At 40.0% G+C, this 14,556-nt stretch overlaps 1 protein-coding gene across 3 annotated transcripts in view, besides 2 other annotated features; it reads right to left on the bottom strand.

Moving 5' to 3' along the window:
• Positions 1–14,556, bottom strand: part of SYNPR (synaptoporin) — a 416,321-nt gene that overhangs the window by 259,789 nt on the left and 141,976 nt on the right. The gene's annotated exons all lie outside the window — the stretch shown is intronic.
• Positions 12,893–13,535: an enhancer, noted in NCBI's record as "OCT4-NANOG-H3K27ac hESC enhancer chr3:63329277-63329919 (GRCh37/hg19 assembly coordinates)". NCBI's record gives its function as "activates a minimal SCP1, AML or CMV promoter by ChIP-STARR-seq in primed H9 embryonic stem cells {active_cell/tissue: H9 hESC(primed)}" and the evidence as "EXISTENCE:reporter gene assay evidence [ECO:0000049][PMID:30033119]".
• Positions 13,049–13,343: a silencer, noted in NCBI's record as "tiled region #419; HepG2 Repressive non-DNase unmatched - State 9:DNaseU". NCBI's record gives its function as "represses a minimal TATA promoter and a strong SV40 promoter by Sharpr-MPRA in HepG2 cells {active_cell/tissue: HepG2}" and the evidence as "EXISTENCE:reporter gene assay evidence [ECO:0000049][PMID:27701403]".

Genomic DNA, 14,556 nt, shown 5'->3' with positions numbered 1-14,556 from the left:
ACTCCAATTCCAGGTATGTGAGAAGCTAGGGCACTAATGTTTAGCATTAAGTAAAGGATCACAAAGAGTAACAAAGATTTGTAATAATTATTGTCATCATCTGTGGAGCATTCAGCATTTTTCATGTGAGGAATGGAAGGCTAAGAGTGGTTAAATATGTCGCCCAAGTTCATATAACTAGAAGAAACAGGCAAGATTACAGCCTGGATATTTTGCTTCTAGAGCCAGCCTGCTTAACTTCTGTATTGTAATACTGGACTTCAGATTTGCTCACATATATTGACTTATTGCTTTGTTTTATTTGCCTTCATCGTTGAGAAAAATTCTTCCTTTTCCATTTCTAAAGCTGCCTATAAGTTTGTGTCAGGGAAATATGTTTCACATTCAATAAACATTAACTGAGTACCTAGTATGTGCCAGGAACATATAGACATGGGGACCGGAAAGGTGAGTGTGACCATTTGGCTTTCTTAGTTTCATAGGAAAAGAGCAATGATGACAATAATAAATGCAATGAGTTATTTGAGGGCACAGAGAACTGAGGAGGGCACTGACCCAGTCTGGGATTCAGGGAAGACACCACTGCTGACTGACCTTGAGCAAATTGTTTAATCTGTCTCTCTGTTTTATTCCCTCATCTGTAACAGAGGTAATGACAACAGAATCTTAATAGGGTCATTGTGAGGATTAACTAAGATAGAATTTGTGAAGCACTTACCATACTGTCTAACACATAATGAGTGTTTAATAAATGCCATGATATTGGTGGACACCTTGAATAAAGGCCCAAGGAACACCATAGAAGTTGTCCAAGTAGACTGTGGTGGTTAACACATTCTTGATGCCTTCTGATCCCAGGATTATTTGGTAAGATAAGCTCCAATCAAGCTTCCTCACCCCAGGTACTGTACTAACTGCTGGAAAGTACAGCGAACATGGCCTTCATGCCAAGTTGATGGAGCTTCTGGACTTCCACAAAGGACAGACAGTGAAAAAAAATTTAAAGTATAAGTAGTAAGAGGAGAAGAATGAGCCATCTTAGGATGAACAACATGATGTCTTATTCCCTGAGGAGATGAGCTTGAGCTAAGGCCAAGGATGAGTAGGAGGGAATGTGGAATTCCAAAGACTGAAAAGGGGCAGAGAAGATCACAGGCAGAGAAACCACATCATATCTGCACTAAAGACTCTGAAGCAGATGTGAGTTTCCAAGACACTCATAATCAAACAATACCAACACAGGGTTACAGCTGTAACAAGTGCTGTTAAGAGAACGTGTGCAATGAGGAACTGATAAGTTATTTTCCAGCTCAGACATGGTGGATGAGTCAAAGTTAACTAGGTGGAGAGCAAAGGGGAGAGGGAGAGGGAGGCCCAGGCACTGGCAAAGGCTGTGTGGCAGAGAAGGGGGCTGAGCACTGGCTGGGGGGGCCAGAGTACTGAAGCACTGGGAGGTGACGGAGAATGGGAGGGCATGGAGGATGAAAACGAAAGCAGGGACCGGTGCATCAGAAGTTATAGGGAAGATTCAGAACCTTTAAGATTTCTGAAAGTGGTAGGAGTCATTTGGGATTTCATGCAGGTGAATAGTATGTTCAAAATTGCATTTTCAAAGGATAACTCTGGCTGGTGAGTGTGAAATGTGAAGTAGGACCATGAGGACGTGGAACAATCAGTGGGAAAGCCATTACCAATGGCACTTACCCTAGCTCTGGAAATCTGAATGACCTGGAAGTTGGGGTGTTGGGTCCTTCAGTAGCCTCTAGTAGATGCTGGTCTTAATCTCACTGCAGCAGACTCTGATGTCAAACATTGGGTGAAATCGAATCAATTGCCCTGGGACTTTTTTTTTTTTTTTTGACAGGGTCTCACTCTGTCACCCAGGCTGGAGTGCAGTGGCATGATCTTGGCTCACCGCAACCTCCACCTCCAAGGCTGAAGCCATTCTCTGCCCTCAGCCTCCTGAATAGCTGGGACTACAGGTGTGTGCCACCATGCCCGGCTAATTTTTGTATTTTTAGTAGAGACGGGGTTTTACCATGTTGGCCAGGCTGGTTTTGAACTCCTGACATCAAATGATCCACCTGCCTTGGCCTCCCAAAGTGCTGGGATTATAGGCATGAGCCACCATTCCTGGCCTGCTCTGGGACTTTAGGTAAGATACTCTTCATTTGTTGAACTTCTGTTTCTTTATTTGCAAAAGGCAAAGCATACGTACTCCCCAGCTTTGCTACAAAGATCAAATTAGATAATACATGTGAAAGTGCTCAACAAATTCTGATAGTGGTTACTATAAAGATGCATGTCAGTAGCTCATAAAGCAGGCTCTATTCTGCCTGAAGATGCAAATGATCATTTCTGCAGTATTTTCTACACTCAGAAGACATTTGAACAAGAATAATGATGAAAAGCAAGAGTTGATATAGTATTTACTATGTCAGGCGTCTTTGTAAGAACACAACATACATTAATATATTTAATTCTCAAAATAACCCTCTGTTACATGCACACTTCACTTCTCCCTTTATCTACTCCCTTTGCCTTGTGAGTTTGAAGTTCTTCCTACTAAGGGATCCAAGGATACTTCTCATGTGCTTCCACTTGCCCTTGTTATGTCTTTGCCATCACCATGAGAAGAGCATCTTTACTAGTCTGTTGGTTCAAAGAGGACAAGGGACTTGCAAAGCAAACTCTAACCTGCAGTTAGGTTTGACATTCATGATGAATTATAAAGGCTTTGCCCACACAGCCCTAAAGTGGAGGTTTGGAAATTAGCCAGCAGTTGGATCATGATGTGGACGGATCCACTGGATGATTCAGGAAAGCAAACCCTTACCCTGCAGTTAGGGTTTGCTTTACAGAGCCAGCCCAGCAAAGCTCAGAGTGGTCCACTGAAATCCCAGTTGCCCCTTATTTATGCAAGCAATAGCAAATGATCATTGTTTTGATGTTCTGAATTTTAAGGTGGCTTGTTATGCAGCATTTTGTGGTAATCACTAATGAATGTACTCTATAAGACAGTTATTATTATTAATGCTCATGTTATTTGTGAGGAAACTCAAGCATAGAGAGGTTCTTCAGCAACTTGTTTAAGTTCTCTGGCAGCTTAATAAGTGTCAGAGCTGGGATATGAACCCAGACAGCCAGATTTCAGAATCTGTGTTTCTCCCTTTCATACATACAGCCTCCTAAGGAAACCAAGTCCTTCACATTTAAAGCATTAGTTGATCCAAAAGCAACACAAAGCTTGAAGTGCAAATAAATGAAAAACAAGTATCTGACAGCACTATATTTTTGTGCATTAAAATTCACACAAAAATTGGATATCATCTCACAAAGAAAATGTCTGTGCATGGAATCTTATCATATCATCACTCCTAACATTAAGAAGCCTGCTTCATTTGCCTAGCTGGAGGTGTTAACAGCTGAAAACGATGTAAAACTTAAGTTTTATAAGTGGAGGGGACAGTTTGCTTAAAGTGGCACTTGCAAGAGGAGGATCGGAATCATCAGTGAGTCAGGCAGGACTGTGACTGCCTAGGACCTGAATCATCCGACTGATCTGTCCACATCACGATTCAACTACTGGCTAATTCCCGAATCTCCACTTTAGGGCTGTGTGGACAAAGCCTTTTTAATTCATCATGAATGCCCCAAAAGCCCAGAATGTGATGCTTAAAACATAGTAGGTGTCAAGCCAAAGTCAGAGTTTCCAATTTAGCAGGTGGCCTGTGGCATCACTCATTCTAGGCAGCTTCACTAGATCCCCCTCCCTGTGGAAGAAGATAAATAAGGGAGATCCATCCCATTCCTAGGAAAGACATTGTAATTACTGTGGGCTGATAGCAACCCCTTACTCCTCTGAATTCCTGTAACACTCTATTTGTGTTTTTCTTACAAAATTATCCTCTCCTGTTTATCAGTGTATCACCAGTGCCTTGCACACTGCCTGGCACTTGGCAGATGCCAAGCAACTCTGTGTTAATGAATGAGCAAGTAGTCTGTACTGAGAGACAAAGAACCTGGAATGGAGTTGCTCTCCAGATTGCAGTGTCTTGTAAAGATTCTCCACCATCTTTACATAATATATACAATTATTATTTGTCAATTAAAATAAAGTTAAAAAGACAAAGTGATATGGTTTAGCTCTGTCCCCACTCAAATCTCATGTTGAATTATGGCTCCCATAATTCCCACATGTCATGGGAGGGACCCGGTGGGAGGTAATTGAATCATGGGGGCAGGTCTTTCCGGTGCTGTTCTCATGATAGTGAATAAGTCTTAGGAGATATGATGGTTTAACAAAGGGGAGCTCCCCTACACATGCTTTCTTGTCTGCCACCATGCAAGACATCCCTTTGTTCTTCCTTTGTCTTCCCCCGTGATTGTGAAGCCTCTTCAGCCATGTGGAACTGTGAGTCAATTAAACCTCTTTCCTTTATAGATTACCCAGTCTCGGGTATTTATTTATTAGCAGCATGAAATGGACTAATACATAAAGGATTCTCCATTGTTTCTGCAAACCTAGGTGCCTGAAGTATATTTGGGTCTTGTTCATCAATGTCCCCTTTTTTCTATTTGCTTCCCAGTTGCCTTTTAACAAATTCTCTGTTTACATCAGTTAGCTGGAACTGAATTCTGTTGCTTGTAGACATAGAACCTTAACAGATAAATAAGTGTTTTCCCAAGAGGTGATCTGTGGACTACTTGCATCTGAACCATCGAGCTTTATGATACTGATCCACAGTCCTCACTATAGGCCTCTAAATCAGATTTTCCAGCCGAATCTGCCGGTTTGAAAAGCTCCTCAGGAGATTCTTTTATTCACTTCGAGAACTGGGTGAGAGGATTTTCAAGAATCCTTCCCACATTAAAATTCTAAAATTGTACAGGAAAAAAAAAGAACAGCTCCTTGCAAGCCTTCAAGTCTTGATGATCAACTCCTGCTCACCTCTTTGGCCGCATTTCCTATCCCTCTCCCCTCAGTGCACACCACACCCCAGCTTTACTGGCATTCTCTCTGTTTCCACCCCAGGACCTTTGGACTTACTGTCCTCTCAGCCTGGCACTCCCTCCAAGGTCTTCACAGGGCTGGCTTCTTCCTTTCCTTCAGGTCGGCTCCCCAGAGAGCAGGTTTCATATTTTCCATCCCACATTGCCCCACAGCACCCATGCTGCCGATCCTAGCATCTTAGCAGTTCTCACTGTATGAGTCGATTATCATTCATTCTTTAGCAGTTCTCAGTATCTGAGTCAATTATCATTCATTCTTTCACTACTTCTTTTATCTCTCCCCCACTTAGAACTTCTTAAGTTCCAGGACAGGAAGAATGGGCTTTATCTTGTCACCACTCCATCCCCGTTGCCTGGAACTTTACTTGTGACATAGCAGGCAGGTTCTTAGCAAATATTATTCAGTAAATGAAATCTATAAATCTTAGATAATCTTTGAACGTTATCCTACATATGCTATTACTATAAAAGCAGTCTGAGAGTAATAAAACCAAATGTCACATTTACCTTCAGGAATTTGTCATCTCAGATAACATTCCTCAGTGTTATCACCCACTGCTCCCAAATTTGATCTCTATTGCCTGAAAAACTAAAAAGAGCTACTGTTTTAATTTCAATTTCCTTGTCTAAGGAAAACCTGGCCTAAATTTTCTTAAAGCAACAAAGAACCAAGAATCTTTGCTTCTTGGAAACGGGAAAGCGAGCTAGAATGATTCCCTACTAGGGTGCACTCACACTTGATTTGAAAAGCACACGTACCCTCTACTGGAAGTATGCAGTATTGCAACTTGAACTCAAACTGTCAAACACATTAAGCAGGGAATGTCAAATGTCCTGTTACCCCTGAAACTGGATGAAGTAAGCAGAGGAAAAGAGCAACACAACAACAAATAAATGAGCAGTACTTATGGTGCTTATCTGTTCTGAGGGTTAAATCGGCCAAGATCAATTGGGCGGATCACTCAGAATTCTGGCTTCTGAGATGTTCAGTGCATTTCCTCCTGTAAAACCAACGAAGATCAGGGACAACTGTTCACTTTAGGACAGTCTACTACGTAAATAGGACTAACTAGAGAAAAAAAATGCAAGAAAGCATAATGTCTGATAAGGGGCACACAGTCAAGAGAGTGAGGATATGACCTAAATGGAACCCAACTGAGGGTCAGATTCCTCATTGGTAAAACAAGGAAAGGATTTAGAATAAGTAACCATAAAGGAGCTGCACCTTGAACAGAGGTCGAGAAGTCACTAACTGATGGGCTCGGGGGCCAATTCAAGCTATAGACATGATTTGGCCCAACTATTAATTGGGAGGGACAAGGGTTCTCCAGTTTGCTACAGCATGTTTGTCTGTCTCCCCTGCACATACATGTATATTTCTGATTGTGGTGTCCATAGCAAGTGCAAGTGTCATTTCCATTTAGCACACTGCTGATTTTCTAACAGCCAGCCTGCTTTATGCACTCATTTTATTTGCCTGTTCCCTGCAGGCATTTGACTTACACTTTTGCCTAGTCCCTTTGGCTGTTTTGCATAATAGTGCAGTGTCTCTTCTCTTCACTGCAAAGTGCATGTGTGCATATGCACGCACACACACACTACACACACATACACAGGCATACACACACAGCTTTAGCAATATGGCTTTTCTTTCTCCTCCTATCACGATATAGTCTGAAGTCCCACTTGCAAAAAAAATATGAAGAAGACAGAGCTGTTCATCACTTGATCTCAATCCCCAGCACAGGGCTTGTAGCAGGTCCAATGAGAGTGAGATGTTGGTGTCTGGCAGCTGCCTGGGTCTCTATGAGTCATCTTTTCTATAAAGGCTGTATATATAGGGAATAGTCTCCCCTATAGAGTTAATAATTGTGTTTGTATGTGTGTGTGTGTGTGTGTGTGTGTGTGTAGAATAATATTAACCTCTACCTGTTTTCCCTTCCCCTTAATATTTGAAAATACTGTGTATAATTATAAGTGTGAAAATGTGTTCCTATTACTAAGATTCCTTTCCTAAAATGTCGTAGATGAGACAGTATAATGTAAGATCATGATATGTTAGCTCTTCTTATCAGTTAGCTTTAGTTTAAAGAGACTGCAAAAGACCTGCATTTTAGAAATACAATGCCAGGATATTAAGAAAAGTTATATTTAAATTTTGATTACCTTAAATGTACATGGACAACTCAGTGGATTACCTTATTTTTTGCATTTGCCTTTGTTAAAAAGACAAAAATAAAAGAAAGCAAATGAAACCAAAAGACAAGAATCAAAATTAAGTTCAAAACGGCAGTCTGGTACTCAGACTAGGTACAGCTGTACCTTCTACGCTTTCGCCACCTACTGGGCAAAGGGAGTTGATGCTCAAAATGAGTAGAAGGAACTTGGATTCTCCAGATAACAGAAAACCCTAAAGACTCCTCCAAAAAACAAATTTTATAAATTCAGTAAAGTGTCAGGATGCAAAATCAACATACACAAAATCAGTGGCATTTCGATGCACCAATAACAATAAAGCTTAGAACAAAATCGAGAAGGCAGTCCCATTTACAATAGCTACAAAAACAATAAAATATCTCGGAATATATTTAATCAAGGAGGTGAAAGATCCCTACAAAGAAAATTATAAAAGAAATAATTTTAAAATGATGAAAGAAATTGTAGATGTCACAAACAAATGGCAAAACATCTCTTGATTATGGATTGAAAGAATTAATGTTGTTGGCCAGGCGCGGTGGCTCGCGCCTGTAATTCCAGGACTTTGGGAGGCCGAGGTGGGCGGATCACAAGGTCAGGAGTTAGAGACCAGCCTGACCAACATGGTGAAACCCGTCTCTACTAAAAATACAAAAATTAGCCGGGCGTGGTGGCGCGTGCCTGTAATCTCAGCTACTCAGGAGGCTGAGGCAGGATAATTGCTTGAACTCGGGAGGTGGAGGTTGCAGTGAGCCAAGATCTTGCCACTGCACTCCAGTCTGGGTGATAGAGAGAGACTCCATCTCAAAAAAAAAAAATTAATGTTGTTAAAATTATCATACTGCCCAAAGCAATCTATAGATTTAATGCAGTCCTTATCAAACTACTCAATGTCATTTTTCACAGATCTATTCATATGGAACTAAAAAGAGACCAAAAGTCAAAGCAATCCTAAGCAAAATTAACAAAGCTAGAGGCATCACATTAGCTGACCTCAAATTATACTACAATGTTACAGTAACCAAAACAGCATAGACATATAGATCAATGGAACAGAATAGAGAACCCAGAAAAGAAACTACATATCTACAGTCATCTGATTTTTGACAAAGTCACAAAAAAGACATACTGGAGAAAGAATGTCCTTTTCAATAAATGGTGCTGAGAAAAATTGGATTACCACATGCAGAAGAATAAAATTGGATATCTATCTCTCACCCTATAAAAAACGAATTGAAGATGGATCAAATACTTAAATGTAAAACCTGAAACTATAAAAGTAGAGGAAGAAAACCTAGAGAAAGCTCTTCTGGCCATTGGTCTAGGCAAAGAATTAATAAACTAAGATGTCAAAAGCACAAGTAACAAAAACAAAAAATAAAGGGGACTTAATTAAACTAAAAAGCTGCTTCACAGCAAAAGAAATAAGCAACAGAGTGAACACACAACTTGGAAAATGGGAGAAAATATTTGCAAACTATGCAACCAACAGGTAACTGATATCCAGAATTTACAAGGAACCCAAACAACTCAAAAAAAACAACAACAAATAACCCCATTAAAAAGTGGGCAAAGCATATGACTAGACATTTCTCAAAAGAAGACATGTAAATGGTCAACAAGCATATGAAAAAATGCTCAACATCAACTAATCATCAGAGAAATGAAAATTAAAACCATGGTGCGATATCATTCTTACACCAGTCAGAATGGCTATTAAAAAGTCAATAAAATAACATGTTGGTTAGGACATGGAAAAAAGGGACCACATACAATGTTGGTGGGAATGTAAATTAGTACAACCTCTATGGAAAACAGAATGGATATTTCTCAAAGAACTAAAAATAGAACCACCATTCAATCCAGCAATTGAAATCATTACATCAAAAAGATACCTGTACTCAGATACCTGTATCATGTACCAGCACTATTCACAATAGCAAAGATAGGGATTCAACTTAAGTGTCCAGCAACAGATGCTTGGATTAAGAAAATGTGATATATACATACACACACACACACACACACACACACACACACACACACACACAATGGAATACTATTCAGCCATACACACGCAGACACACACACAATGGAATACTATTCAGCCATAAAAAGAATAAAATCATGTCTTTTGCAGCAACATGAGTGGAACTGGAGGCCATTATCTTAAGTGAAACAACTCAGAAACAGTCAAATACCACGTTTTTACTTGTAATTGGAAACTATATGATGTGTACACCGGGACATAGAATGTGGAATAACAGACTTTGGAGACTTGGAAGGCTGGAAGGGTGGAGGGTGAGGGATGAGAAATTATTTAATAGGTACAATGTACACTATCCAGGTAATGGTTACCCTGAAAGCCCAGACTTCAGCACGACATAATATATCCATGTAACAAAACTGTACTTGTATACCTTAAATTTATACAAATGTTTTTAAAAGAACAAAGATTGGCATATATTTAGCAATAGTATATGAAAAAGAAAAGGATGAGTGTTGAATTCAGACAAAGAATAAACAGGTTTTTATAAACCATCTCTAATGGTTCAAAAGTAGCCTACCTCCTACTAAAAATCACATAGAAAATTCTAGAATTTATCAATAGCAACCATACGAAAATGTTTTTCAAGCACAATCTTTGCATTCGTTATTGCCAAATCACACCACTAATCTATTACCTGCAAGTCTGAATAAGAAAAGAGTAATCATCAGTTAAGAAAATAGTTGTTTAAGAAAATGGATTACTTAGGGTCATTTAGAAACTTTTAAAATAATTGATATAAACTAGGTGAAGTACTTACTCTGTCCCAAACATTGCATTAGTTACATTATCTCAGTTAATTTTTCTCAATTTTGTGAGGTAAGCCCTAGTATTATTTTTATTCTGCAGATGAGGAAACTGAAGTCTAGATAGATTTAGCACAGTATATGGCTGCACGAAAGACTGTTTCCTTCCATAAAATTATTCCTTAAATAAAAGGAAATAATCTTATACTCATATCCATAGAATATCTGTCAACTTATAGATTACTCCATCGCCCAGTGCCATTTGGGGAAGACACAATATTTCTGAAATAACCTCAATTAATCCTACTTAAATGTTTATTAAGGCAAGCCGACAGAGTTGGTAAAAAGAGAGGCAAATAAATTAGCTGGGTGTGGTGGCTCATGCCTGTAATCCCAGCACTTTGGGAGGCCGAGGTGGGTGGATCACGAGGTCAGGAGATCAAGACTGTCTTGGCTAACATGGTGAAACCCCATCTCTACTAAAAATACAAAAAATTAGCTGGGCATGGTGGTGGACACCTGTAATCCCAGCTACTCAGGAGGCTGCGGCAGAAGAATCGCTTGAACCCAGGAGGCGGAGGTTTCAGTGAGCCGAGACCACGCCACTGCACTCCAGCCTCAGTAACAGAGCAAGACTCCATCTCAAAACAAAAAAATGAAAAAATAAATGGAGTATGCATTTCATCATACTTTTCATTAGTACAACTTCTCAGTTGCAAGGAACAAATACAGTTATAAATAATCTTTAAAAATTATTTTTAGAAAGTAAAACAGCGCATACTTCAACAGTGGTTTATATAAACATAAATCTACCAAAAAAATGAAAAAAATTGTCATAATAGTATATGATTGTGTATTTGTGACTTGGGTAAAAATTCCAGTAACAGGATCACAGGAAGACTGAAAAGTTCTGCATGTAAAAAGTGAAGAGCTTTTAAAACTGTGTTAGATGACTCCAAAATGGCTCTAATGATAAAAACAAAATTGATGTATGAAGAGTTTGAATAAAATAGTTCCATGGTTGGGCACGGTGGCTCACACCTGTAATCCTAGCATTTTGGGAGGCTGAGACAGAAGGATCATTTGAGGTCAGGAGTTTGAGATCAGCCAGGCCAACATGGTGAAACCCCAACTCCACTAAAAATACAAAAATTAGCCAGACATGGTGGCGCATGCCTGTAATCCCAGCTACTTGAGAAGCTGAGGCAGGGGAATCGCTTGAACTTGGGAGATGGAGGTTGCAGTGAGCTGAGATTGCGCCACTGCACTCCAGTCTGGGCAACAGAACAAGAGTCCATCTCAAAAAAAAAAAAGTTCCAGAAAATTCAATGTTAGACGAAAGCAACATTTCAAAATTGTTATTTTAGGGTATGCATCTTTAAATATATATAAATTTGTCCCTAAAGATCCACTTCTCACCTTTCTCTCCCTCCCTTCCCCTCTCCTCAGGAAGCTGCCTGGCTTTGGCTTGGCTCTGGTTGGGGTTGGAGTCAGCCAATGCGAGACCAGCAGGAGAAGAGAGGCTAGGCGAGAGGGAGAAAGTGAGGTCCCAGCTTCTTTCCCTGCAAGGTCACCTCAGCCAGGCTCTGCCCCTCACTGGAGGTCACCCCTCTTGTCATGACAATTTTCTTCCTTCCTTGCAAGTTCCTGTGAGGGCTTCTTCTCTTCTGCAGCCCGACAGGCCCAGGGATGGAGACAGCCCTGCTGCTGCTAATGAAACTGACTATGCAAAATTATGACGGTCAGAGAAATCTAACAGAGCTGACTCCATATTGCTTCTAACCTCACAAGCTACCTTTGCTCATTCCTGGCCATAGGCCAAGTTAACTATGGAAGGAATGCTATTTATGATTTAATCTCAAAGCAAGGATGATACTAGCCCCTTCCCAAAACTACCCTCGCCTTGTTCTGAGACTAAAACCACCTTTGTAAAACTAATGAAAGGTCACGAGATTAAAATTATGTGAGAGCATGAATTCTGCTAAAACCTAGGCATAGTTAAATGATAACAAGTCATTGTTTACTGCTCAAGAGTCGCATGGGGTGGTCACAAGATTTGTAATTTGCCTAATTGTCCCTTTAGATAACATCAGTATTCTAAGACCTAAGACTAGTATTTGAGATACTTTTCAGACTTTTTCATTCTGGAAACCCAACTGACTCCACCCAGACCCATTACACATACCAAGAAACTGGCTTATCTGGTCTGGTGGCCCCTACCCAGGCAGGGAGTCAGCTCAAGAAGATAGCTTTGATCCCCTACAATTTCATGCTGAACCCAACCAATCACCATTCCCCCCATTCACCAGCCCCCTGCCCATCCTTGAAAAGCCCTAGCCTCGGAGCTCTGTGGGGAGGCTGATTTGTGCAGTAAACTCCCTTCTTTCCACTTGGCCGGCTCTGCATTTATTAAACTCTCTTCACAGTAATACTGCTGTCTCAATGAATCGACTCTATCTGTGCAGTGGGCAAAAACAACCCACCAGGCAGTTACACAAATCCCAGGTTATTGCACTACCTCTTGTTGGTTCCCTTACACACTAACTACTCTTATTAATCTGTAAAAAAAAAAAAAAAAAAAAATCTTTTTTGAATATGCACCTGTTTCTCACAGGGATTTTAATACATTAAATAAGGAATTGAATTTAATTAAATATTTTAAGTAGACATTTTACAATTTCTCCTATATTTCTAAAACTTTATAAATAGAAAACCTCTTTGTTCCTGGACCTTTATATTAAAATTAAGAAAAAAAAGCAGCACTTCTGAAATTTGTATCCAGAGCTTTCTGACTTGTGAGCTCTAGGGCTGCCTCCTTCCTAATCATAAGATAGGTAGGAGAGAAGAAGTGCAGCAGACAACTGGGTCAAATGGAAAACTGTGTATTCTGTTTGTAAAGGGCTATTGATACTTTGGGTCTTCTTTTTTTAATGCCAGGCTTATTATTATAAGCACATTCTGCTGAACACAGAGGTTTGGTTATTACCTTTTATCAAAATGTCAGGAGGGCAGATTTTAAACTGAGCTAGACAATGTGAAAGAACATTCTTCCCATCCACAGTCTTTGAAACTGATTGCAAATGAACCGCCTCTGAACAGCATATGAGCGAGGCTGAGAGCTCTCCTAATGATGTACATCTGTGAGGCTTCACTCGGGGGTTTGGCTGCATTTACATCACTATAAACTGCAATTACAGCTCAAGCCGTTTCCGGCATAGACACAGAGAATACGAATTGCAACAGCAGGTTTCCTGCCTTGGATTTCTGCCAGGAGCCTGAGTCACCGTCCCAGACATCTGTAGCACATTAAACTGTACCCTTGTTATCTCTCAGCACTTTGAATAATCGCCCAAACCTCTGACAAAACAAATGGTCAAAGCCTTCTCAAGAAACCCTTTAAAGTTAGGCAGGGAATCATGAGCCTGCAGAAAACAACTTCTAGGGTAATTTATACTGTCGAAGAAAAGCCACAATAGAGCAGAGATGGTTTTTGATAGTCTGAATGTTGTCTAAACTTCATGGACTTAGATGGTCTGAAAAAGAGGTAGCTGCGTTGGAAGCTCAACAAAAAAAGGAGGGTTGTACCCAGTCCTTACCAGGAGTTCAGTCCAGCAGGGCAAACATGGATAGAGGCAGGACCTCCAAACAATGTCCTCACTCTGCCTCCTTCTCTCCACCAGTGCCATGCCCCTGGGATGCACACCACCACCCTCTTACAGAGAACACTGCAAAAACTTCATAACATGACTTCATAATGTTATCTTCATAATATGTTCCTCGGCTCTCCTAGAATCCATTGTCCATACAGCAGCCACAGTGATCTTTTATAAATATAAATCTGTGCATGATTTTTCCTGCTTAAAACCATGAAAAGCTGTTGCAGCACACCTACAGTACCTAAGTGCCTTCCCATGACCCAAAGCTACTGCATCCCGTGGTCTCTGTCCTCCTCTCCAGATTCAATTCCTTGTTGCTCTTTCCACTCCGGCTAGTTTTCCTTCATCCTCAAATATGCCAAACTTGTCGCCTTCTCTGGGCCTTTGTACTAACTTCTCCCTCTGCCCGAAAAGCTCTTTCTCTAATGTTTTCCATGATTGATCCCTTCAGGCCTTAGCTCACATATCACCTCCTCCGGCAGGCCTTTTCTGATCATCCCCATTTTTATTTTATCAACATAATTTATCATTATTTAAAAACACATACAAAAGAATAAGGAATACTAGAAATAACTTTCAACCCATAAATTCTACAACTTAGAAGAAGTGGATCAATTCATTTAAAACAACAAACTACCCAAAATCAATCAACATGAAATAGACAATCTTGATAGTCTTGTAACCATTAAAGAAATTGAATTTATAATTAAAGAGCTCTTAATAAAGAAATCTCCAATCCCAGATGGTTTCATCAGAAATTCTACCAAACATTTAAAAAATAATTACCATCAATTTTACATAATCTCTTCCAGAAAATAGCAGAGGAGGGAACACTTTCCAACTCATTTTATGAGGCCAGCGTTACCCTGATACAAAAACAGATAAATCCATTACAAGA

Source organism: Homo sapiens, chromosome 3 (assembly GCF_000001405.40).
Source record: "Homo sapiens chromosome 3, GRCh38.p14 Primary Assembly".
NCBI lineage: Eukaryota > Metazoa > Chordata > Mammalia > Primates > Hominidae > Homo > Homo sapiens.
This window is presented reverse-complemented; position numbering and strand designations above follow the sequence as displayed.